Below are 25,808 nucleotides of genomic sequence, written 5' to 3'. Positions count from 1 at the left end.
AGAACTGCCACTAACTGCTGGGTGCAAACTTCCCCTTCAAATGGTTTTTGCTATGCAGATACCAATATATATGTATATACATTTTTAATAAAAATAGGATCAGGTCGGGCGTGGTGGCTCATGCCTGTAATCCCAGCACTTTGGGAGGTCGAGGTGGGTGGATCACGAGGTCAGGAGTTCAAGACCAGCCTGGCCAACGTGGTGAAACCCCCGTCTCTACTAAATATACAAAAAATAAATAAATAAATAAACAAATAAAAAATTAGCAAGGCGTGGTGGCGGGCGGCTGTAATCCCAGCTATTCGGAAGGCTGAGGCAGGAGAATTGCTTCAACCTGGGAAGCAGAGGTTGCAGTGAGCCGAGATTGCACCACTGCACTCCAGCCTGGGTGATGGAGCAAGACTCTGTCTCAGAAAAGAAAAAAAAAAGCATCATACTATATTTCAACTTGCTTTTTAACTTAACTACATATATAAAAATGCTAACATTTTTTGACTTTATTATGGACCAGGCTTGTGCCAAAGGCTCTTTATGGATTTGCACACACACATACTATATGTAATAGTAGGCACTGTTTTAGAGTGAAATCATGGCCAGGCGTGGTGGCTCACTCCTGTAATCCCCCTTTGGGAAGCTGAAGTGGGATGATTGTTTGAGCCCAGGAGTTCAAGACCAGCCTAAGCAACATAGTATGAGACCCTCTCTCTACAAAAAAATGTAAAACAATAACAACAACAAAAAAGGTCAAATCACATAGAATCATCTTCATCTTTGGACTAGCCTGGGTAACATAGTAAGACCTCATATCTACAAAAAATTTTTTTAAAAATCAGCTAGGCATGGTGGCATGTACCTGTGGTCCTAGCTACTCAGAAGGCTGAGGTGTGAGGATTGCTTGAGCTCAGGAGTTCAAGGCAGCAATGAGCTATGATCATGTCACTGCACTCCAGCCTGGGTGACAGAGTAAGACCGTGTCTCTAAGAAAAAAGAAAAGAAGAAGAAAAGGCTGGGCATGTCGGCTCATGCCTGTAATCCCAGTACTTTGGGAAGCTGAGGCGGGCGGATCACTTGAGGCCAAGAGTTAAAGACCAGCCTGGGCAACATGGCGAGACCCTATCTCTACGAAAAATACAAAAATTAGCAGGGCATAGTGGCGTGCACCTGTGGTTCCAGCTACTTGGGAGGCTGAGGCACAAGAATCACTTGAACCTAGGAAGTGGAGGTTGCAGTGAGCCAGGATCACACCACTGCCCTCCAGCCTGGGCGACAGAGTGAGACCCTGTCTCGAAAAAAAAAAAGAAGGAAAGAAACATCACTTTGTTCTAACGTAAACACAGCATTCTGTGAGAACCAATGCCTGTAATTTAAATCAGCCCCTCTTGCGGACACTTGAGCTGTCCTCCTCGGGGTGGGTGTTCATTTCAAAGCTGCCTTAGGACAGGAAACAGGATCAGTGGAAACCTGCCCCTTCAGGGGCCCCCGGACCCCAGAGGAGACCCACGGGGCTATTTCTGGAGCTGCCTGCCCCAGAGTAACTCCAGCTAGAACTCTAGGCCTAAAGGGAAAACATTACCCAACTATCTCCAAGAACTAAAATTATTAATTTTCTAAAAACAGATTAATTCAGAAGTTATGGAAGATTATTTTTAATTTCAAATCCCCAAGTGGTAATAGGCATTTTGTTTACAGTACTGATACTTAACTGTTTGTGAGGATTTGATTAAGAAAGGGTAATGGTATTGCACTTTTGATTTTTTACCCCCACCAGTTATTATAAAAAGTCCAATAATGTTCGCCTTTCCCCCTCTTCTTTTTTTGAGATGGAGTCTCGCTCTGTCACCCAGGCTGGAGTGCAGTGGCACAATCTTGGCTCACTGCAACCTCCGCCTCCTGGGTTCAAGTGATTCTCATGCTTCAGCCTCCCGAGTAGCTGGGACCACAGGTGGCACCAACACGCCCGGCTAATTTTTGTGTTTTCGTAGAGACGGGGTTTCGCCATGTTGGCCAGGCTGGTCTCAAACTCCTGACCTCAGGTGATCTGCCTGCCCGTGCTGGGATTACAGGCGTGAGCCACCGCGCCCGGCTTCTCCCCGTCTTCTTTATACCAGCTTTGCTATGGTATGAACACAAATCCCTACCAAAATAAGTACACTTTTCCTCAGTCCAGAGAAGGATGTCCAACTCTAAAAAGTGTTTTTTTGTTTGTTTTTTTACGATAACCAACATGAAGGATCACATTGCACATATGTCTCTGTACCCACATACACGCATATGCAGGGGTGCTTTCAAAATATTCAACACAAAATTGGACAAATGTAGAAGACACTTGAGACGGAAACCTTCCACAGTATGAGGTTTTTGTTTTTTGTTTTTTGTTTTTGAGATGGAGTCTCCTCTGTTGCCCAGGCTGGAGTGCAGTGGTGCGATCTCGGCTCACCACAACCTCTGCCTCCTGGGTTCAAGGGATTCTTCTGCCTCAGCCTCCTGAGAAGCTGGGACTACAGGCATGCACCACCATTGTGGAAGGAAAATAAAATAAGTAATAATAAAGTTAAAAATAATAAACATAAGTAATAGTTAACATTAAGTATAGGTTATTTAGAAGTTATACATAGGCTAAGAAATTTAAGCAGCCCCTCCCAGCATTGCTAACAAGTTGCAGCTATGAGCTTATCTCAATCTTCCAAGCTTATTGCCTGCCTCCAGACCCCCGCGTATTTCTGTAATTCCTGTTTTCCCTTACCCCGAAGCTCGAGCTGTCCAGCTTCAAAGTTGACTGGTCAAGATAACTAAATTATATGTTTTCTCAGAATTGTCACGTGTTAAATAATTTACTGTCTTTGTCTGAAACCTGTATCCTGCCTTGTTTTCCCTCCTCAAACGACATATAAGCAAGCCTGCTTTCTGTGTCCCAGTCGGCAGCCATTTTAGGCGTGGGCCTGCTGTCGGCCCGGGTACCTGAATTAAATAAAGTTCTCTTTGGTTTCCAAAGGTCTCTTTGTCTTTTCCTTGGCTGGAGTTTTATTGTAACACCATGCCCGGCTAATTTTTGTATTTTTAGTAGAGATGGGTTTCACTATGTTGGCCAGGCTGGTCTCGAAATCCTGACCTTGTGATCTGTCCGCCTCAGCCTCCCAAAGTGCTGGGATTACGGGTGTGAGCCGTCGCGCCCAGCCCACAGTATGAGCTTTTAATCAGTAAACAAATTTGGGAAAAGGTAATTAATTTGTGGAAAGGTTTTAAAAAATATATTAATTCTCATAATCAGTGACAAATTATTAGGACCACACTCCTGGAATGTGGCAACAGAGAGGGAAATAACACTTATTAAGCACCTATAATGTGTGACACACAATACTAGGTATTGTTTCAAAAGTAATGATTCATAAGAATTTAGTCTTGCTTGAACCTGGGAGGTGGAGGTTGCAGTGAGCTGAGATTGTGCCACTGCACTCCAGCCTGGGCGACAGAGTGAGACTCCATCTCAAAAAAAAAAAAAAAAAAAAAAAAAGAATTTGGTTTATCCTTCATAGCTGTAACTACATAGGATGGCTGTAAGCATTTTTTCTTTTTTTTTTTCTTTAATAAAGATGGGGTGTTCCTATGTTGACCAGGCTGGTCTCAAACTCTTGGCCTAAAGCGATCCTACCATCTTGGCCTCCCAAAGCGCTGGGATTACAGGCTTGAGCCACTGTGCCCAGCCAAGATAGCTATAAATGTTAAATGAGATCATTTTTTTCAGTGTCCCTAAAACAAGTTTCTATCAAAGTAACTAATAGTTATTATATTTGTTTCTCCGCTTGAATGTCTCTGCTGATAAATGGGGAGATTGTTAAGTCTGTAAACAATTGCTGTTTGCCTGTCTGTACTCAGTGCATAGCCTGGTGACAGATATATAATATGTAATAAATAAATGCAAATTTCATGTAATCAAGTACCCACGCTGGCACCTACCAAACGGTTTTCAATAAAATTATGTTTTTAAATTTATTTTAGGCTGGGTGCAGTGGCTCATGCCTGTAATCCCAGCACTTTGGGAACCTGAGGCAGGTGGATCACTTGAGGCCAGGAGTTTGAGACCAGCCTGGCCAACACAGTGCAACTGTTTCTACTGAAAATACAAAACTTTTGCTGGGTGTGGTGGCACATGCCTGTTATATCAGCTACTCAGGAGGCTGAGGCACAAGAATCACTTGAACCCAGGAGGCGGACGTTTCAGTGAGCCGAGATCCCACCACTGTATTCCAGCCTGGGCAGCAGAGTGGAATACAAAAAAATAAAATGAATAATAAATGTATTTATTTTATTTTAATTTTTTGAGAAGGAGTTTCACTCTTGCTGTCCAGGCTGGAGTGCAGTGGTGCAATCTCAGTTCACCGCAACTTCCACCTCCCAGGTTCAAGTGATTCTCCTGCCTCAGCCTCTCAAGTAGCTGGGATTACAGGTGTGCGCCACCACACCCGGCTAATTTTTTGTATTTTAGTAGAGATGGAGTTTCACCATGTTGGCCAGGCTGCTCTAGAACTCCTACCTCAGGTGATCCACTTGCCTTGGCCTCCCCAACTGCTGGGATTACAGGCGTAAGCCACTGCACCCAGCCTATTTTATTTTTTGAGAGACAGGGTCTCACTATGTTGCCCAGGCTGGTCTCCTAGGCTCAAGTGATCCTCCCTTTTGTCCTCTCAAAGTGCTGGCATCACAGGTGTGAGACACCACGCCTGACCTAAAATTATGTTGTTAAATAAATTCTTTCAAAAAATTAACAACAAGTGGCTGGGCGTGGTAGTTCAAGACCAGCCTGGGAAACCCCATTTCTACAAAAAAAATTTTTTTAATGAGCCGGGTATAGTGGTACAAGCCTATAATCTTAGCTACTCAGGAGGCTGAGGTGGGAGGCTTGCTTGAGCCTAGGAATTCAAGGCTGCAGTAAGCCATGATTGTGCCATTGCACTGCAGCCTGGGCAACAAAGCGAGACCACGTTTATAAAAAAAAAAAAAAAGAAGAAGAAGGAAAAGAAAGAAAAAGAGAGAAAGAGAAATAAGGTCCTTAGTTTGGGGATTTTCTATTGCCATAAATAAATAAACGTTTTTACAAAGAAATAAGATCTTTACAGTTTGCAATGTTCCCCAATAGTTGCTGTTTTATTCTGTTCTGTTCCATTTCTTTAAAAAAAAAAAAAAAAAAAAAAAAAGAACAGCACCTCTGCACTCCAGCCTGGGTGACAGAGGAGAACTCTGTCTCTAAAGAAAGCTAAAATAAATAAACAAACAAAACAAAACATTGGACAAAACTCAGCAAAAGGTTTTCACAACTCCGTAGTGTGTCCTGGGCTACTATTTGAAAAACACCCAGTTCCAAGGTAATGAAATTTATTTTAAATCAATAATACCCTCCCTGCTTAACAAGTATATCCTCAGCTCAGAGTTTAGAGCACTGTCCAGGGTTTGGAAATACGAAGAAGTCCCCAACCAGCGACTCCAACCCTCCATCCCTTACAGCAGCTAAGCCAGGTGGGGAAGGTGGAATAGGTGGCTCACTCACCTTGAAGTGGAAGGAGTTTGCCGGGGACCCGCTGGAGCTATACCGCTCACTTTTTGTTAGGTTGCTGTAGTACTTATTAACCTTGGAATTGACATTCTGGTTCGAGCTTGGGTCATCCGTGATGGGGCAGATGAAGTAACCTTCCTCATCGTCGCTGTCCCCATCAGAATCACCATCATGGCCAGCTCGGGGGGACTGGCCGCCATCAACGCCTTCCAGGCGGAAGATGAGATCTTCGTCTGCCATGTTCCTGGGGTGCCCGTTTTACCCAAGCAGTATCCGGCACAGCCAGAGTTACTGGACAAATGCAGAGGCGAAGGTCCTACAAGGAAAGCAAGGGCCAGAGAGTGGGTGCTGGGGCCCAGGGCTGCGAATTCGCCCGACCCTCACCCCAAATGCTGCAGGCTATCGCAGGAGCTGGCACCCTTGGGGTAAAACCTAGAGCTATCTTTTGGGGAGGCAGTTGGCAGCACCCAGGCACATTTTAAATTCGAAACCCGCTGACCCAGTCGTCATTCCACTTTTAAGAACTCAGTGTTTGCAAATGTTGGAACCAGGTTGGGAAAGGAATGGCTTCTTAAGCAGAGTGCTCTTTTTAGCACATCAATTAGATCGAGGCACTCCTCTGCTTAACGCCCACCCCTGGCAGCTTCCTTTCACATTCATAATAAAATCCAAATGCCTTGGTAAGGCTGCAAGAGCTGCGTTCATCTAGCGTGCTGCCCACTTCTCCTCCGGCCCTGGCTGCTCTCCAGGTACACTGGGTTTCTTTCTGTTCTGTGAACACATTAAGTTCATTCCGACCTCCGAGCCTTTGTACCTGCTGTTCCTTGTGCCTGGAACAACCTTTCTAACAGTGGGTTCTTTCTCATCATTGAGCTCACAGCTCACAGATGCCTCTTCAGTGAAATCTTCTGTGAATCCCCAAATCAAAGAACCCTTAACCCAACATGCATATCCAATCACTCCCTTGCATATCACCCCGTTCCATTTCTTTCTTTGTTCTTTTTTTTTTTTCTTCTGAGACAGAGTTTCACTCTTGTCACCCAGGCTGGAGTGCAATGGTGCGATCTTGGCTCACTGCAACCTCCACCTCCCAGGTTCAAGCGATTCTGCTGCCTCAGCCTCGCGCGTAGCTGGGATTCCAGGTGCCTACCACCACAACTAGCTAATTTTTGCATTTTTAGTAGAGATGGCATTTCACCATGTTGGCTAAGCTGGTCTTGAACTTCTGACCCCAGGTGATCCTCCTGCCTGGGCCTCCCAAAGTGCTGGGATTACAGGCGTGAGCCACCACATCCGGACTTTTTTCTTTTTCTTTTCTTTTCTTTTTTTTTTTGAGACAGAATCTTGCTCTGTCATCCAGGCTGGAGTACAGTGGTGCAATCCTAGCTCACCTAGGTCACTGCTTGACCTCACAGGCCCAAGCAATCCTCCCACTCAAACCTCCCAAGTAGCTAGGATCACAGGTGTATGCCACCAAGCCTGGCCAATTTTCTTTGTTTTTTGTAAAAACAGGGTCTCCCTATGTTGCCCAGACTGGTCTCAATCTCCTGGGCTCAAGTGATCCTCCTGCCTTGGCCTCCCAAAATGCTGGGATTACAGGCATGCTTCATTTCTTCATTGTGCTTTTCTCAAACTGAAATCACCCCGTTTACTTTGTTATTGTCTGTATGCCCAATACCTCCAAAAGTGTTTGGCACAGAGAAGGCACTCAATGCACTTTCCCAGAATGAAGGAGTGGCCCTAAAAGCATTTTTTGTTTGTTTGTTTTTCTTTGAGACAGAGTCTGGCTCTGTGGAGTGCAGTGGCATGATCTCGGCTCACTGCAACTTCCGCCTCCCGAGTTCAAGCAATTCTCCTGCCTCAGTCTCCTGAGTAGCTGGGATTACAGGCATCCACTACCACGCGCGGCTAATTTTTGTATTTTTAGTAGAGACGGGGTTTCACCATGTTGGCCAGGCTAGTCTTGGACTCCTGACCTCAGGTGATCCGCCTGCCTCGGCCTCCCAAAGTGCTGGGATTACAGATGTGAGCCACCACGCCTGGCCTAAAAGCACTTTCTGTAGCACAATCAGTAACAGCAACAAAACAAAACCCAACAACCCCAAATGTCCAATAGAAGCTCATTATACAGATTACAGTATTTCTCTCTACACCATGAAATACTCCGTGACTGTTAGAAAGGGGACGGTCCCATACCCACAAACACACAAAAATAATCAAGAAAGAGTTCAGGAAGATTGTAGGATAGAACTGTCACATTTACAGCCACCTGATTTTCAACAAGGGTGCCAAGATAATTCACTCTCAGTTTTACAGTCACTTGATTTTCAACAAGCCAAGATGATTCAACAGGGAAGGAAGAATCTTTTCAACAAATGGTGTTGGGATAAATGAATATCCACATGCAAAAAAATGAAGTTGATCCCCTTCCTTACGCCATACCCAAAAATTAAGAAATTAGAAAACACTCTGGCACCAGCCTGGCCAACATGGCGAAACCCTGTCTCTACTAAAAATATAAAAGGTAGCCAGGCGTGGTGGTGCATGCCTATAATCCCAACTACTTGGGAGGCTGAGGTGAGAGAATTGCCTGAGCCTGGGAGGCAGAGGTTGCAGTGAGCTGAGACTGTGCCATTGCACTCCAGCCTGGGTGACAGAGTGAGACCTTGTCTAAAAACAAAACAAAACCAAAAAAAAAAAAAAAAAACAGAAAAAAACAACATCTCAAAAAGTTAAACACTGAGTTACCGTATGATCCAGCAATTCCACTCCTAGGTGCTGACATACACTACAATATGGATGAAACTTACAACCACTAGGGGAGGTGAAAGGCAGTGACAAAAGACTATATACATTGACTAATTCTCTGTATATGAAACTTCCAGAGAAGGCAAAGCAACAGCAATAGAAAATAGATTAATGGTTGCCTGAGGATGGAGGTAGGGTGTGGTGGTGGGAATGGTTGGGGGAAATGGGGAATGATTGCTAATGGGTATGGGGTTTCTTTTGAGTTGATGAAAAGGTTCTAAAATTGACTGTGGCTATATGACTATGAATATACCATTGAATTGTACTATCTATCTATCTGAGATGGAGTCTCACCCTGTCACCCAGGCTGGAGTGCAGTGGCACAATCTCGGCTCACTGTAACCTCCACCCCCAGGTTCAAGTGATTCTCCTGCCTCAGCCTCCCAAATAGCTGGGACTACAGACACGCACCACTGTGCCCAGCTAATTTTTGTATTTTTTTTTTTTTTTTTTTTTTTTAGGGACGGGGTTTCACCATGTTGGCCAGGCTGTTCTCGAACTCCTGAACTTGTGATCTGCCCACCTCAGCCTCCCAAAGTGCTGGGATTACAGGCATGAGCCACTGCTCCCAGCCAGAATCGTACATTTTAAATGAGCAGATTGTAAGGTATGTGAATTTTATCTCAAGAAAGCCAAAGTTTTAAAGAAAAGAAAGTCGGATGTGGTGGTTCATGTCTGTAATCCCAGCACTTTGGGAGGCCGAGGTGGGAGGATCGCTTGAGCCCAGAAGTTTAAGACCAGCCTGGGCAACATAATGGGACCCTGACTTTACAAAAAAAATACAAAAAATTAGCTGGGTGTGATGGTGCGTGCCTGTAGTCCCAGCTACTCAGGTGGTTGAGGTGGGAAGATCACTTGAGCCCAGGAGGTTCAAGTGAGCCCAGAGGCTGCAGTGAGCTGAAATTGCACCACAACACTCCAGCCTGGGCAATACAGCAAGACCCTGTCTCCAAAAAAAGAAAAGAAAAGAAAAAGGACCTGTGTACATGCATGAAAACTTCCCTGAAAAATCCACAGGAACTGTACAGCACTCGAAATAAGCAGCTGTAGAGCTGGAGGAAACTTTTTATTTTTAATTTTTTAATTTTTTTTGAGATAGAGTCTTGCTCTGTTGCCCAGGCTGGAGTGGGGTGGCACAATCTTGGCTCACTGCAAGCTCTGCCTCCCAGGTTCAAGCGATTCTCCTGCCTCAGCCTCCCGAGTAGCTGGGATTACAGGAGCCCACCACCACACCCAGCTAATTTTTGTATTTTTAGTAGAGGCGGGGTTTCACCATGTTGGCCACAGTGGCCTTGAACTCCTGACCTCAAGTGATCTGCCCGTCTTGGCCTCCCAAAGTGCTAGAATTACAGATATGAGCCACTGAGCCTGGCCAGCTTTTTAAAACTTTGTATGTTTCTATACTGCTTTAACTTTTTTACAAAGCTGGATTGCTTTAGACACAAAATAGTAAGTAAATTAGTTTAAAAATTTTTTTACATCAAACCAATAATTCCAATTTTTTTGACAGTGCTGTCCATCAGGTGCACAGTCTTCTAGAGCCAAGGCTTTGGTACTCTGGCTACCGAAGCAGGAAATATATTTATATCCTAACCCACTACATGCTTATAAAATGGACAGTAAAATTTCAAGAAATTGTGCTTAGCCTTACTTTGTATAATGCGCTCTTGCTATTTTTTTTTTTTAAATGTTATTTTTAGAGACAGGTTGCCCTGGCTGGAGTGCAGTGGTGTGATCACAGCTCACTGTAGCCTCCAACAGCTGGGTTCAGGTGATCCTCCCGCCTCAGCCTCCAGAGCAGTCCATGCCACCATGCCCGGCTAAAGTTTTTTATTTTTGTACAGACAGAGTCTCACTATGTTGGCCAGGCTGGTCTTGAACTTCCAGCCTCAAGTGATCCTCCCACCTTGGCCTCCCAAAGCACTAGGATTACTGATGTGAGCCACTGTGTTTGGCCCACTCTTGCTATTTTCTATTCTACTTAAGTCCTCTGTTTTTTCTTTCTGTTTAATCTTTTTCCTTAACACACCACCCACACATTGATTTCTATACTCACCGTTTGAAAACCAACGTGAACTACTGAGTTTGTTTCTTATCCTCTGGGCAAGACACAGTCACAGGCCTGGATCCAATGCCAGAGCCACCTGATCCTGCTTGTCACCAGAATCTTCCCTGAGCCCTGGACTGGCCTCTCCTCACTGTCAGCTGCTCCCAGCCCCAGCGCCTACTCTGCCCTGGTCAGCCCTTGGCCAGAATCCCTGCTGACCAACACGGCGTGGTGCCAGGAGCTGCCAGCAGGCCCAGCCTAGTCAGCGGCCACTGGGGGCCAGGACAGTGCCAGGAGGAGGGCCAGAACCACAGCCCCAAGCTGCAGACCTCCAGACAGTGTAGTTCGGTGGTTAAAAGCTCAGATCCAGGGCCAGGCGTGATGGCTCATGCCCGTAATCCCAGCACTTTGGGAGGCCAAGGTGGGCAGATCGCTTGAGCTCAGGAGTTCGAGGCCAGCCTGGGGAACATGGCGAAATCCTGTCTCTACGAAAAAATACAAAAATTAGCCGGGCGTGGTGGTGTGTGCCTGTAGTCCCAGCTACTCAGGAGGCTGAAGTGGGAGGATCACTTGAATCTGGGGAGGCAGAGGCTGCAGTGAATTGAGATTGTGCCACTGCCTGGGCAACAGAGCAAGACCTCATCTCAAATAAGCAAAAAACAAAAAAAAAAGCACGCTCAGATTCAGGATCTGGGCTGCTAGCGAGCAAATCTGGCTCCTTACCCAATTAATTCACGGAGCCGACTCCCTCATCTTACAGTGTGGGGAGCTCGGCCCTCGGCCATGTCCCACCACAGACCTGACGTTCTCCTCGGCCCTGGGAAATGAAGACAAGCAGCTGTGACCCTGCCTGGCACAGCGCCTTGTACACAGCAGGCACTTGATATGCATTCCAGAGCTAAGTGAGTGTCATCTGTTTTATGGCTTTTGAGTTGTCATAAATTTGCTCTTAAGGCAGCTGTGGCAAACTATCCCCCAATAGCTGTTCACTCTTTCTTCCTTGATAAGAGAACCACCGGGTTTTGGCTAAGCATGTCACGTGGCCACTCAGGATACATTTCCCAGACTCCTTTGCAGATAGATATAAACATGTGAACAAGTTTTAGTCAATGGGATATAAGAAGGACTGTGTGCAACCATAGGGAAGGGTTCTTAAAGGGAGTGTGCCCCTTGGCTCTCCTTCCAACCTGCTGGCTGAAATGCACATGTGATTGCCGGAGCTCAAGCAGCTACCCTAGACCATGAGGCGGATGGCCCTGTGCTGAGGCTGGAAGAGCTATGAGACAAACAGAACCTGGGTCTCTTATACCATGGGACAGCATAACAATCCTGGATTCAGAAACTTCATACTCTGATAGCTAAACTTGTATAATCTACTGTAATTTTCTTTTTTCCTTTCTACTTGCTAATTTTATTTGGTAACAGTAGCTCCTTCTCTCCCATATCATAAAAAGTCACATCCTCTTTTTTGTAAAGTTTTATTTTTTGAGAAAGGGTCTTGTTCTGCTGCCCAGGCTGGAGTAAAATTGTGCAATCAGAGCTCATTGCAGCCTTGATCTCTGGGCTCAAGTGATTCTCCTACCTCAGCCTCCTGAGTAGCTGGGACTACAGGTGTGTGTCACTATGCCCACCTAATTTTTTATTTTTGTAGAGACACAGTTTCACTATGTTGCCCAGGCTAGTCTCGAACTCCTGGCCTTAAGCAATCCTCCCACCTTGGCCTCCTGAAGTGTTGGGATGACAGGCGTGAGCCACTGCACCTGGCCTAAAGGTCACAACCTTTATGACAAATGGGTGCCTGGGCAGGGTCAACCTGGGAAAACTGTGGCCTCAATCCATAGTCCTAACTTGGCAGATACTCTTACATTTGCACATGAAGACTGGGTACCTGGAGGATGTTGGATTTCCCCAAACAAGCAAGGAACCTTCCTTAGCCTTTAAGTCAGTTCCAGGAGGCCTGTTCTAACACCAGGCAAGATGCCCAGCCTCCTAGGGGTCTCTATCTATCCTGGGGTTCCCTTGGCCCAAAGAAAGGATCTACTCCTGTGATAAGAATAGGACTCCAGCTGAAAGACATCAGGATTTTTCTTGAAAGCTTTCTCTACCTCACTCAGGCATCCACATCTTCTCCTCCCAGTCCCTATTTCTTTTCTTTTTTCTCTTTTTTTTTTTTTTTTTAATTTTTTTGTTTGAACTCCTGCCCTCAAGTGATCCACCCTCTTCGGCCTTCCAACGTGCTGGGGATTAAAGGCATGAGCCACTGCGCCCGGCCTCCAGTCCCTATTTCTATGGAAAGGTAGCTGAGTGAGTCAGGAAGACCCAGGTTCAAGCCCCATCTCTACCACTAACTGGCTATGTGACTTCACCTCTTGAGCCTCAGTGGGGATGCATAATTGTACTCACTCCGTGAACTCAACAGCTATTATAAAGGGACTGAGCCTTGGGTCCCAGCCAGACTTGTGACCTGGACGTCTGGCTCGTAGCAAAGCCAAGCTTCTTCAGGGGTCCTCAGGGAATACACTATTTCAGTCTCTGGCGACGGAAACCACTGTCTCACTGGGTCTCGATCTGGCAGTTACAGGGGCAGGAAACTATGCCTGCAATGCTCAGGTCAAGGCCTGCGGGTCAAGCCACAGTGGCCACTGGTCCCCCTCGGGGCTCACCCTCACCCCAGGACCTGCCTTCCTACCATAGAAAGCAGGTGGAATCTTCCCACCGCCACTCCTGGGAACCAGCATCCCAAAGCCAATAACGTGGCACCCCGAGCTGGCCAATGCACACACTAGTGTACGCCCAGCACAGCACAACCCACACGCCCTTGACTACAACCACAGTGGACACAGGTGATTGATCAGCCACCTGGAATCACGCACCAGCTTCTGTGTGAGGATCTGCCTCTGCCCCACCCTCGAGTCATGTGTTCAGGAGTGTGTCACAAGATCCAGGCCTAAACCAACCACTGGGGTGCCTGGCCACAGAGATTGGCTTAGAGGTGGTCATGTGATTACAGTCAAACTATTCTAGCCCATTGCAGCAAACCTGGGGCTTTTTGCTTGAGTGACTGGAAGAGGTGATCAGCCTTTTCATGCTGAATGTGAACTTGAGAATGGGGCTGAGGCCAACACAGAACAAAGCTGATACGTGGTGGAGGGCAGAACCAGAGAAAGAGAAAAATGAATAGCGATGATGTCATTTGAGACCTGGAATCCAGATGTTCCCGAAACCAAACTACCAAGCCCAGCGTAGATTTCTGAATCAGATGATACAATAAACCCCGCCTTTTGGGGGGCAGTAGGGGAAAGGGCTATTTAGCTAGTTACAGATAGGTTTTCTGTCACATGCAATATGAAAATCCCCAAACCAGCCAGGCACGGTGGCTCACGCCTGTAATCTCAACACTTTGGAAGGCCAAGGCAGGTGGATCACCTGAGGTCGGGAGTTCGAGACCAGCCTGGCCAACATGGTGAAACCCCGTCTCTACTAAAAATACAAAAATTAGCGGGGCATGGTGGCACGAGCCGGTAATCCCAGTAATCCCAGCTACTCGGGAAGCTGAGGTGGGAGAATTGTTTGAACCTGGGAAGCAGAGTTTGCAGTGAGCCAAGATCGTGCCACTGTACTCCAGCCTGGGCGACAGAGTGAGACTCTGTCCAAACCCAGCCAGGGTTTGGGCCATTGTATATTATTTATATATAATTTTAAAAATGCTTTAAACACCTTTTTCTTACTAGGGCCACTGTATATGATCATATAGGTGGGGTACTGCTCAACTCTAGTGAACAACCTTTGCAACTTTGCACGGGCAGCCCTACTTCCCAACCCTAGAGGCAACTACTTCCAACTATTCTCAGTGTTATCCTTCGCATCTCTCTCTCTCTCTCTCTCTATCTATCTATCTATATATATCACTAAATAATACGCTTCCTGATTCTTTTTTTTTTTTTTTTTTTTTTTGAGACAGGGTCTTGCTCTGTCACCCAGGCTGGAGTCCAGTGGCGCAATCTTGGCTCACTGCAACCTCTGTTTCCTAGGCTCAAGTGATCCTCCCATATAAGCCGCCGGAGTAGCTGGGACCACAGGCACGCGTCACCATACCCAGCTAATTTTTGTATATTTTTGTTGAGATGGGATTTCACCATGTGCCCAGCTGGTCTCAAACTCCTGGACTCAAGGGATCCACCCATCTCAGCCTCCCAAAGGGCTGGGATTACAGGCATGAGCCACTGCACCCGGCCCTGATTATTTCTTAATTTATCTATTTTCATCCTATCTTCTGATTTCCAGGTATGATAAATGAGACTTTAGCTCTACTTCCCCTTACTACTTCCCTTCCCCACCCTATCCCTACACTGGTAGGTCTTCTTCTGGTTCCTTTATTTATTTATTACAGACGGCATCTTGCTGTGTTGCCTAGGCTAGTCTCAAGCCCCTGGTCTCAAGTGATCCTCCCGCGTCAACCTCCCAAAATGTTGAGATTACAGGCATGAGTCACAGTGCCCAGCCATCTGGTTCCTTTACATACCATGCCAAGGACACTGTCTTATTCCACCAACTAGAAGAAGCTGAGTTTCTCACAGTTTAACACGAATTCAGAGAAGGGAGAGTGTGGCTTTTGTGCTGTGAATGAGTGATAAGTAAGCAGAAGAGCTACTTATCTGCTTATCAACCTCAAAAGCTTATCAACCTCAAAAAGGCGTAATTTCTATGGAAATAAGAAAGACAAATAATGCACGTGAAAGACTGACTGCACACCAGGTGCTACACTGGACTCTCCTCTGACAATGACAGGAGCTGCTAGGTCCAGAAGTGACAGTCTACCTCTGAAAAGGCAACCTTAAGGGAGCGGAACTACACAGCGCTAGGCTGTTGAGGGCTGCACCTGGCTTGTTCTGAAGATATTTTAAACCCTAGCTGGAGTCCCGAGTTTCCTTCAAACAAGAAACAAAAACCAAAGCCCAATACAGTGGCTAACAGCTTGTCCTCTACAGCCGCATGGCCAGGGTTTGAATCCTGGGCCCCACCATTAGGAGCTGGGACCCTCTCCTAGACAATAGACTTGTCAGGTGGGCTGTGACATCCTAAGGTCTGCACTGCTGTCTCCATCCCTCCCCCCATACCTTGTATTGCCTTCAGTGCACAGGTGCTCAACATGAACTCAAATACCCTTATGTTTAGTGTTTCTTTTGTTTTGAGATGGAGTCTCCCTCTGTTACCCAGGCTGGAGTGCAGTGGCGTGATCTCGGCTTACTGCAACCTCCGCCTCCCGGATTCAAGTGATTCTTCTGCCTCGGCCTCCCGAGTAGCTGGGATTACAGGCACCCGCCACCACACCTGGATAATTTTTGTATTTTTAGTAGAGACGGGGTTTCACCATGTTGGTCAGGCTAGTCTTGAACTCCTGACCTCAAGTGATCCACCCGCCTCAGCCTCCCAAAGAGATGGGATTATAGGTGTGAGTCACCGTGTCTGGCTGCTCAGTGTTTATTTACTGGGATGCAGCATTAGGAGTGATTAAGTCAAGCATCAAGCTAAGAGTTCACATCAGTGTCTTAATGTCTGCACCCCTAGCATATAATGGGTGCTCATAAACATTTATTTAAACTATTGAGAGAAATAGTACATCAGAATGAAAGGACCAATTTACAGAGTCCAGCCCATCCGTCCCTTCCTCCCTGCCATCTCAGCTTCCCAAGTTTCCAAGTCCAAGAATCAATCTCCATGCACCACCAAACTCTCCTCACCTCCTTGCCCTTGTATCTATCTGCAGGTGCCTCTGAGGCAGGCGAATAGGGTCTGGAGGCAGGGAACCTAAGGCTGATTCAGGCTGACTTCCTAGAACTAAATCAAAAGGAAAACCCCTACTTTCCAAGCCCAAGTAACAAAAGGACCAGAGGCTACTCCCTTTGCAACCCCCAACTTACCTGCGTGGCAGATGAAAAACTGAAGTTACCTCTGATTGGTCCCTTCCCACAACCAATCAGGCTGGTGCTGGCCAAGTCCTCGTTTGTATAGGAGTCTTCATTTGTAACTTCACTTCAGCCTCTGATTGGTCGCATTCCACAACCTATCAGACTGATCCCAGGCCATTACTTCATTTACATAGGGTGTACATCAAGTAACCAATGGGAAACCTCTAGAGGGTTTTTAAACCCCAGGCAATTCTGTAAGCAATCTGCTCAAGCCCACTCCCACCCTGTGGAGTGTACTTTTGTTTTCTGTAAATATTTGCTTTCGTTGCTTTCTTTCCTTGTTTTGTTCGTGTGTTTTGTCCAATTCTTTGCTCAAAATGCCAAGAACCTGGACACCCTCCACCAGTAACACCTCTGCCTGGAATCCCTTTCCCACTCACTAGCAAAACCCTTTAATCTCTTCAAGACGCAGCTCAAATGTTGACCTCCTCCAGAAAGCCTTCCTTGTTTGTTTCTTTTGGGTTTGTTGTTGTTGTTGTTGCTGAGAGAGTCTGGCTCTGTTGGCCAGGCTGGAGTGCAGTGGTGCAATCATAGCTCACTGCAGCCTCCAACTCCTGGGCTCAAGTGATCCTCCCACCTCAGCCTCCATTGTACCTGGGACTACAGGTGCATACCACCCACATCTGGCTAATTATGTTATTTTATTTTTATAGAGATGGGCGTCTCCCTACATTGCCCAGGCTGGTCTCTTTTCTTTTTTTTTTGAGACAGGGTCTCACTCTGTCACCCAGGCTGGAGTGCAATGGTGCAATCATGGCTCACGGCAGCCTCAGTCTCCCAAGCTCAAGTGATCCTCTTGCCTCTGAACTCCTGGCCTCAAGCGATCCTCTTGCCTCGACCTCCCAAAGTTGATTACATGCATGAGCTACTGCACCTGGCCTCCAGAAAGCCTTCCTTGGATAGTTCCCTCCTCTGTAAACAGGGGTCAGCTAACAGTACCCCTGCAGGGGTTGTTCTGAGGATACAATGAGATTAGGCACATGGTGTCTGGGATAGACTTGACTCTCAAAAGTACTAGCTGCTGTTATGTCCCAATAATCCTCCAGTCCCCGACTCCCTAAATCACTTCGCTCCCTACAAACCCTCCACAAGCAAATTTCATTATAACCTGAGGCCAGACTGTCTGCGGCAGGCAGAAACATGGCTCCCCTAAGATGGCTACATCCTAATCCCTGGAACCTGTGAATATGTTACCTTATATGGCAAAAGGGACTTTGCAGATGTGATTAAGGATCTTAAGATGGGAGACAGTCATGGATTATCCTGTGAGCCCAGTGTAATCACAAGGATCCTTATAAAAAGGAGGTAGAAGGGTCAGAGTTAGAGGAAGAGATGTGACCAAAGACAGAAAGGTGTGAAGTTGCCACACTGCTGGCTTCAAAGATGGAAGGGAGGGGCCAGGAGCCCAAGGAATGAGGACAGCCCCTAGAATCTGGAGAAGGCAAAGAAACCGATTTTCTCCTGGGGCCTCCAGAAGGAACACAGCCATGCTGACACCTAGATTTTAGAACTTCTGATCCCCAGGAACTATAAGATAATAAATGTGTTGTTTTAAAGCCACTAAGTAATTGCAGCAATTTGTTACAGCAGCAATTGGAAACTAACGAAGTCCTGAAGAGCAGCTCTCAACCTTGGGCAATTTTGCTCCCTCAAGGGACATTTGGCAATGTCTAGAGACATTTTCAGTTGTTGAAACTCTAGGGGTGCAACTAGCATCTAGTGGATAGAGGCCAGGGATGCTGCCAAACATCCTAAAATAAACAGAACAGTCCCCTGCAGTGAAGAAGGTCCGGCCCAATGTCAGTGCCGAGGCTGAGAAACCCAGCTCTAGAATGAATCTGGTGGAATTTCTTTCTTTTGTTTTTTGAGATGGAGTCTCACTCTGTCGCCCAGGCTGGAGTGCAGCAACTACATCTTGGCTCACTGCAAACTCCATCTCCCAGGTTCAAGTGATTCTTGTGCCTCAGCCTCCTGAGTAGCTGGGATTACAGGTGTGTGCCACCATGCCTGGCTCATTTTTGTATTTTTAGTAGAGACAGGGTTTCACCATGTCACCCAGGCTGATCTTGAACTCCTGACCTCAGGTGATCCACCCATCTCCGCCTCCCAAAGTGCTGGGATTACAGGCGTGAGCCACTGTGCCTGGCCTCTTTCTTTCTTTTTTAAGAGACTGGGTGGGTGTCTTGATCTCTCATCCAGGCTGGAGTGCAGTGGCATAATCACAGCTCACTGCATCCTTGAACTCCTGGGCTTAAGGGATCCTCCCGCCTCAGCCTCCTGAGTAGCTGGGACTACAGGCCTGTGCCACTATGCCTGGCTTATTTTAAAAAATTTTTTGTAGAGATGGTGTCTTGCCACTCCTGGACTCAAGTGATCCTCCAGCCACAGCCTCCCAAAGTGTTGGAATTACAGGTGTGAGCCACTGTGTCCAGCCTCTGGTGTAATTTTAAGGAGCCCTCCCCAACCCTCTCTTCCCCTTTTCCTTTTAAAAACAAATCTCCCCACATACCATAAAGAGACAGAGAAGGCCAGGTGCGGTGGCTCACGACTGTAATCCCAGCACTTTGGGAGGCCGAGGCAGGCGGATCACGAGGTCAGGAGTTTGAGACCTGACCAACATGGTGAAAACCCCATCTCTACTAAAAATACAAAAACCAGCTGGGTGTGGTGGTGTGTACCTGTAATCCCAGCTACTTTAGGAGGCCAAGGCAGAAGAATTGCTTGAACCTGGGAGGCGGAGGTTGCAGTGAGCCAAGATCGTGCCACTGCACTCCAGCCTGGGTGACACAGCAAGACTCTGTCTCAAAAAAAAAAAAAGAAAGAGACAGAGAAATCAACTTACCGATGTAAACAGCAACCTGCTGCAGAAGCCAGAGATACGTCATCATTTGCTCTGCTAAAGGCTCGTAAAAATATCATTGCAGTACACTGTGTTTTCTGCATATAAAACTGTCATCATGCAAGGGCTATTTTATTGTTTCAGGAATCTGAAAAATGCATTTTGGAATATGAAACACAAAATATAATTATAGCTTTGATTAGCAAAATGCACAAGGGAGCTTGAACTGTAATGTTTAATCACTTGCTGGGCACTCTCTGCATGTCCACGGTACACTCTACTCCTGGTGGGTCAGCTCAGGGATACAGCACGTCTCACTTCTCACATGAACTGTGTGCCCAGCCCTCTCGGTGGCCAGACCATGTGAGTGTCTTGAACAAAAGGGGCCGTGTGTCTTGTTCCTCTGCAGCTCCCAGCCCAAAGCACAATGCCTGGCACACACCATAAATGCACAAGTGCATGCTGCATGAATGAACGAGTAAGTGAAGAAAAGCTGGCAGTTTCCTGCTGATATAATGGAGAAACAGAAGGACTTTTGGGTTGTGGCTGGGCACGGTGGTTGACCCCTGTAATCCCAGCACTTTGGGAGACCGAGGCAGGCAGATCACTTGAGGCCAGGAGTTCGAGACCAGCCTGGGCAACATGGAGAAACCCCATCTCTACCAAAAATACAAAAATTAGCCAGGTGTGGTGGCACACGACCTGTATAGTCCCAGCTACTTGAGAGGCTGAAGCATGAGAATCACTTGAACCAAGGAGACAGAGGTTGCAGTAAGCCAAGATTGTGCCACTGCACTCCAGCCTGGGCAGCAGGGCAAGACTCTATCCCCCCGCCCCCAGACCTCCGAAAAAACAAACAAACAAAAACAAACAAAACAACCTACTGTGTTGTAACTACATAGGAGTTACTTAGTCCAATGACATGGCTGAGGTCGTAGTGGGAAAGACTGGCTCATGGAGGACCTGATAAGCACCAAAACCAGATCTAGCCAAACAAGGCCTTTGGGATGAATTCAAGTCCTGGCCCTGCCACAGTCAGCTGAGGAATGCTGGGGGAAATTACTTAACCTTCTGAACCTCAGCTTCTTCATCTGTAAAATTCATCTACTCAACAGAGTGGAGCAAAGTGAGCAAGGTGGAGAAGAAGTGAGAGAGGGGGCCTGAAAACCACAGGTGGCACAGAGAGCTGGCTTTCCTCCAGGAATCCTTTCTCCCCTGCCTGGCCACGGACATTTCCCAGCATCCCTTGCAGCTAGGTAAGGTCATGTGACTGCATTCTGGCCAATGAAAGAGCACAAATAACTTGTACCATTTCTGAGCCCGTCCAGCAGCCCATTTTCCATACCCTGGTTGGCTTCCTCTCCACTGTGATCCTGCCCAGAACAGATTGGTAGCATTTCAGTATCACTTACAAAGCACTTGCTACATAACTCCTCCCAGCTCCCTAGAAGGCAGGCACTCCTTCCTCCTCGGGCTCTGAACATGCTATGCCCTCTGTCTGGTACACACCCCAGCCTGTCCTCCCTACTCATCCCCTGGCCAACTTGACTGCTCATCCCTCAGGTCTCAGCTTAGATATCACCTCCTTCATGAAGCCTCCCCTGAACCCCAGGAGTTAGTCGCTCTTAGCTTCATTCTACAGATGAGAAAACTAAGGAACAGAGAGGTTATGTGACTTATCCCAAATCACATGACTAGAGTTGGGTTTGAAGCTGGTGCGGGCTGAATCCAGAGCTTTCAATGCAGTCATCACTTCCTTAACCAGCGCTTCTAAAAGTATGGGACCAGCTGCCGCAGCAGCCACTGCAGCAGCCTCACCTGGCAACTTGCTGGTAATGCAAATTCTCAAGCCTCACTACAGACCTACTAAATTAAACTCTGGGGATGGGTCCAGCAATCAAAGTGTAAGCAAGTCCTGCTGGGGATGCTGATGTGCACTGAAGTTAGAGAAACGCTGGCCTAGGGCAATTTTCCGCAGTTTAGCCACCTACTTCCGGGTGCTTCCTCTGGCTTGCTAGTCCTTGCTAGAGCTCGAAAGCTTCACAGCTGGAGAACAGAACGCCATCCACCTTCTGACTCTGGAGCCATTTGAGACGCTTCTCTAGGAGTCCCACAGCCCTGGGACTTTGGGGGTTGTGGGGAGCACTGTTATTTTCTGCTTTATCATCAGCGTGTTAGTGACTCACTCCTTCCTTTGTCTGAAGCCTTCTTATATGGTTGGGCACGGCTCATGCCTGTGATCCTAACACTTTGGGAGGCCCAGACAGAAGAATCGCTTGAGCCCAGAGTTCAAGCCCAGCCTGGGCAACAGAGTGAGACCCCATCTCTACACTAAAATTAAAAGTTAGCCAGCCATGGTGGTAGCTCATGTCTGTAGTCCCAGCTACTTGGGAGGCTGAGGCAGGAGGATCACTTGAGCCGAGGAGTTCCAGGCTGCAGTGAGCTGTGACTGTGCCACTGCACCGCAGCCTGGGTGACAGAGCAAGACCCTGTCTCAAAACAACAACAAAAAAGAAGCCTCCTTGCTTGTGCTCATCAGCCTTGGCTGCAAGAATTTGATCCAGCAACACTTTAAGGCCCAAGCCGCTTTCATCCCAGGTGGAGACAAGGTCATCGCTCTAACCACCTTCTAGGAGCCTTCTCAGTTCATCAGGGTAATAACCTGCAGCTTTCAGGTCAGCAGAACCAATCTCCCTCAACAAAAAACACTGATTCTTTTAAATTAGTTCAACCTGCCGCTATTACTTTGTCTATAGCCCTGATCATTCAGTTGTTCTGCTTCAGGTGTAAGAACTGGACCAGAAATAGTGAATCCCGGAGAACGAGCTTGAACAAGTCCAAGCTTCTGCTGTTCACCCTTGGCTTTCTTCACACAGCTCCCAGAGTCCCGGCAACCAGACGACAACCCTGCCAAAAACTGGACAAGACTGCTTTGGGGACTCTCCCCACAGCAAGATAACAACCCTAAAGACATCCTTCCCGGGTGGGCATGGTGGCTCATGCCTGTAATCCCAGCACTTTGGGAGGCGGGTGGATCACTTGAGGTCAGGAGTTTGAGACCAGCCTGGCCAACACAGTGAAATCCCATCTCTACTAAAAATACAAAAATTAGCTGGGCACGGTGGCATGTGCCTGTAGTCCCAGCTCATACTCAAGAGGCTGAGGCAGGAAAATCACTTGAATCTGGGAGGCAGAGGTTGCAGTGAGCTGAGATCACACTACTGCACTCCAGCCTGGGCAACAGAGCAAGACTCCATCTCAAAAACAACAAACACTCCCTCTGGCTTGTGGCTCTGCCCTCCTCTAGGCCTTCAAAGTCGCCTTGACTTGTCCAACAAATAAGGAAAGAGTGAGAGGTTTTTAGGGTCGAGGCTTGAAATGGACACACTCACATTTCATCAGCCAAAACTCAGCCGTGTGGCCCTACCGAATGGTAAGGAAGCCTAGGAAAATTCATCCAGGGAGCACCCCAGGAGGACGAGAACATGGGTACTGGTGACCCATAGCTTTCTCTGCCACATAATACAGTAAAATGTTTTAAAAGCAAATCAGAGATTTTTTTTTTTTTAAATAGAGACCGGGTTTCACCCCGTCAGCCAGGCTGGTCTTGAACTCCTGGGGTCAAGCAATCCTCCCGCCTCAGCACCCCCAAAGTGGCTGGGATTACAGGTGTGAGCTACCACACCCAGCCAGTGATATATCCGTAATCAGCCAAAAAGTACTGTACAGTTACAAAAAGCACAAGAAAAACAAATTGGTGGATCTTTTTTATTTTTTGAGACAGAGTCTCGCTTTGTTGCCCAGTCTAGAGTGCAGTGGTGCAATCTCAGCTCCCTGCAAACTATACCTCCTGGGTTCAAACGATTCTCGATTCTCCTGCCTCAGCCTCCCGAGTAGCTGGGATTACAGGCTCATGCCAACATGCCCAGCTAATTTTTGTATTTTTAGTAGAGATGGGGGCTCCCTATGTTGGCCAGGCTGGTCTCAAACTCCTGACCTCAAGTGATCCACCTTCCTCAGTCTCCCAAAGTACTGAGATTAAAGGCCTGAGCCACCACGCCCCTGGCCCAAAACACCGGTAGCTCTTGGAATGTACACCGATGATTATGTGTAAACTGTGACCACTTCAGTTCTGTCTTCTGGCCTCCCCATTCCCTGCAGAGGATAAGAACTTCGGACCCCACCCCCTTCTTTGAGAATGGGGGCTGAGAGGAGGGCGGACGCCAATCCCAGCCATGTTACACTGAAATTCATGTCCTTGAGAGGTTTTACTGTAGTTGTTGAATTAATAGCTGAACAAAGGAATGAACATCGGGTGCTGTGGAGGCCACACAGAAGGAAGACACCTGCATACGCCATCTCTGAACTCTACCTCCTTCCACCTGCCTCTTCCCCAGCTCAGCTTAAACAGCACTTGCTACAGGAAGCCTTCCCCCATAACCCTCTCCCCTTTACACACACAGTGGGCATTCTCAGCTCCCACCTGCTTGCTCTGTATTCCCATTTACTCCATCTCGCTTTTTAGAATCTGTTTATGTGACTGGCTTCCTCTTAGGGAGCTTCTGTGGGCCTGGGGATCACTCTGACCCTCGGTTTCCTCCTCGCTAAAAACATTAGGATAGACTACGTGACTCAATTCGCTGTGACTTCACAGCCTGTCCAGGGCCCTCAACCACAGGGCTCTTGGCCATCAGATGTCTCCCGGGGCCATAGACTATGACACTGTGTGCCAGGCACTGTTCCAAGCACCTGACATATACATACTCATCTACTCTTTCCAAGGATACTAAGTGGTAGATACTAATACTGTACCCATTTTACCGATGAGAAAACCGAGGGCCAGAGAGCATAAATGAGCTAGAATTCCAACCCAGGACTCCAGCCCTAGTGTTTCCTGCTTTCCTGGCTGAAGAAGCACCCACCACCGAGGTCCCAGAGGTCGGGCTCCCTGGGACCGTCCCCCTGGGCAGATCTCACTTCCCCATGCGGCCCATCTGTCACACTCAGGGCGCAGCTGGGCTGGTTCCCCGAAATCCCCCAGGCGCGCGCAAAAGGATCTAGGCCGGGGCTTACCCGGGAGGCCCCCACCCCCGCGCGGCCACCGGCTTATTAATGCCCAGCCCCTTGGCACACATGTCAGCAGCGCCTGCCAACAAACTCCCGCAGCCAACAATGCAGCAAGGGCGCGTCTATACAGTCCTGGAGGTTCCGGGAATTCGGGCTGACGCAGGCCTCTAGTTCAGGGGAAAGGTGGGGGATGCGGCTCTGAGCCCTGCAGGGGACAGGAAGGCAGCGATGCGCCCACACTCTAGGGGCCCCGAGGGGGGAGGCCCCCAAACTCTCTGTCACTTGCAGCCAGATCACCGCCCATTGCTTGCCAATTGCTTTCCATATCCACATCGCCTTTAATCCGCACAACTTCCCCATTTCTCCAAAGCAAGCACTTAGCCCCAGAGAGTTTAACAACCAGAGGAGAAGCGCCCCCACACTCTCCTTCCATGCCTTCTCCGGCCCCATTCCCAAGCCCAGACCCAGCACGCTCCAGACGCCAGCTGCACCCGGGCGCACAGGCCTGCAGCGCGGGCTCCCAGCCCCCCACAGCCTTGCCGGCCGCGGTCCACACCTACCTCCCTCGGGCAGACAGGCGCGGCAGCCGCTGCCCACGGCCGCGAGGGTCCAGAGGAGTTGGCAGAGGCTCGCGGCCCGGAGCTCCAGGGTGCAGGGCGGGCGGGCCCCCCGAGAGTGCCGGGGAGCGGAGAGCGGGGAGCGCTAGCTGGCGCTCCGGGCAAGCAGCTGGGGCCACGCGGGGTAGATGGACCGATCCCAGGGCGCGCGGGGCAGTCGGAGTGATCCCAGGAAGGGCGCAGGGGCCGTTGGGACGATCCCGGGATGTGGGAGCGCGTGCCAGGGGGGACTCGCGTGCAGGCGACAGCGAGCGGGACTCGGGTGGCTGCAGGGCCGGGAGTGCGGGCGCTCGATCCAGGAAGGAGGGGAGCTGAGGCTGAAGCTGGGGCTGGTCTAGGTTGAGCAGAAGCGGGCGGGCAGGGGCGGGGCTGGCCTGGCGGGCGCACGGCGTGGCGCTCACGTGGCCGCCCCCAGGTGGCCATCACAGCGCCTGCAGCCGCCTAGCGGGCCTCCTGGCTCCGGCGCTGGCTCCCAGCCCCAGGTGCAATGGTTAGCGCTAAGTCTTGGCTCCCCCTGCTGAGTACACAGTGTCCGGTTCTCCTGCTCAAGGCTGGCCTAGCATCCGGCAGCGAGGGGGCAATTCGAGGGAGTGACCAACTTCCGTCCTCTCCCGCCGCGCCTCGCCATTCTCGCCTGCTTCTCGCTTAGTTCCTGTATTCCTGTCCTTTCCAAAATCATTAGTGATCCAAGCCCATCGCTTGTTTGTATGTATCTCTATCCATAACCTTAAAATATTTTTTATCGGAAATACTTTGTTTTTCCTGATTTCTGCTTTGTAAAAACAGGCACGTATGACGATTGCAATTATTTGTGTAGTTTTAAAATTAGTATCTCCTTTAGTTATTCCTAACTCTTGACACAGGGCCTGGGTGGCACACAGTAGATGCTTAATAAATACCTGTGGCATGAGTG

The 25,808-nt window shown here is 48.3% G+C and overlaps 1 protein-coding gene across 1 annotated transcript in view, besides 8 other annotated features; it reads right to left on the bottom strand.

The window, feature by feature from the left end:
* EEF2K (eukaryotic elongation factor 2 kinase) overlaps positions 1–25,240 on the bottom strand; it is an 82,461-nt gene extending 57,221 nt beyond the window's left edge. The window contains exons 1-2 of the mRNA NM_013302.5: positions 24,839–25,240; positions 5,543–5,864 (exon numbers count right to left, since the gene is read on the bottom strand). Of these exons, the coding sequence (NP_037434.2) occupies positions 5,543–5,788 (246 nt within the window). The 5' untranslated portion in view covers positions 5,789–5,864; positions 24,839–25,240. The remainder of the gene's footprint in view (positions 1–5,542; positions 5,865–24,838) is intronic.
* Positions 5,187–5,810: an enhancer, noted in NCBI's record as "H3K4me1 hESC enhancer chr16:22237029-22237652 (GRCh37/hg19 assembly coordinates)". NCBI's record gives its function as "activates a minimal SCP1, AML or CMV promoter by ChIP-STARR-seq in primed H9 embryonic stem cells {active_cell/tissue: H9 hESC(primed)}" and the evidence as "EXISTENCE:reporter gene assay evidence [ECO:0000049][PMID:30033119]".
* Positions 12,631–13,130: an enhancer, noted in NCBI's record as "H3K4me1 hESC enhancer chr16:22229709-22230208 (GRCh37/hg19 assembly coordinates)". NCBI's record gives its function as "activates a minimal SCP1, AML or CMV promoter by ChIP-STARR-seq in naive H9 embryonic stem cells {active_cell/tissue: H9 hESC(naive)}" and the evidence as "EXISTENCE:reporter gene assay evidence [ECO:0000049][PMID:30033119]".
* Positions 14,957–15,101: an enhancer, noted in NCBI's record as "145 bp enhancer 198 fragment used in the MPRA reporter construct; PK_construct_4625". NCBI's record gives its function as "activates an SV40 promoter by MPRA in K562 cells {active_cell/tissue: K562}" and the evidence as "EXISTENCE:reporter gene assay evidence [ECO:0000049][PMID:23512712]".
* Positions 15,021–15,038: a transcriptional cis regulatory region, noted in NCBI's record as "GATA motif; enhancer activity is reduced when this motif is scrambled". NCBI's record gives its function as "necessary for full MPRA enhancer 198 activity {active_cell/tissue: K562}" and the evidence as "EXISTENCE:site-directed mutagenesis evidence [ECO:0005528][PMID:23512712]".
* Positions 16,476–16,645: an enhancer, noted in NCBI's record as "experimental_43156 CRE fragment used in MPRA reporter constructs". NCBI's record gives its function as "activates a minimal promoter by MPRAs in K562 erythroleukemia cells, with activity observed for both the introgressed and non-introgressed 16:22226279 variant alleles {active_cell/tissue: K562}" and the evidence as "EXISTENCE:reporter gene assay evidence [ECO:0000049][PMID:34662402]".
* Positions 21,078–21,578: an enhancer, noted in NCBI's record as "H3K4me1 hESC enhancer chr16:22221261-22221761 (GRCh37/hg19 assembly coordinates)". NCBI's record gives its function as "activates a minimal SCP1, AML or CMV promoter by ChIP-STARR-seq in primed H9 embryonic stem cells {active_cell/tissue: H9 hESC(primed)}" and the evidence as "EXISTENCE:reporter gene assay evidence [ECO:0000049][PMID:30033119]".
* Positions 24,740–25,009: a silencer, noted in NCBI's record as "silent region_7265". NCBI's record gives its function as "represses an Ori minimal core promoter by ATAC-STARR-seq in GM12878 lymphoblastoid cells {active_cell/tissue: GM12878}" and the evidence as "EXISTENCE:reporter gene assay evidence [ECO:0000049][PMID:35858748]".
* Positions 25,170–25,469: a silencer, noted in NCBI's record as "silent region_7264". NCBI's record gives its function as "represses an Ori minimal core promoter by ATAC-STARR-seq in GM12878 lymphoblastoid cells {active_cell/tissue: GM12878}" and the evidence as "EXISTENCE:reporter gene assay evidence [ECO:0000049][PMID:35858748]".

Source organism: Homo sapiens, chromosome 16 (genome assembly GCF_000001405.40).
Source record: "Homo sapiens chromosome 16, GRCh38.p14 Primary Assembly".
NCBI classification, from domain to species: domain Eukaryota; kingdom Metazoa; phylum Chordata; class Mammalia; order Primates; family Hominidae; genus Homo; species Homo sapiens.
This window is presented reverse-complemented; position numbering and strand designations above follow the sequence as displayed.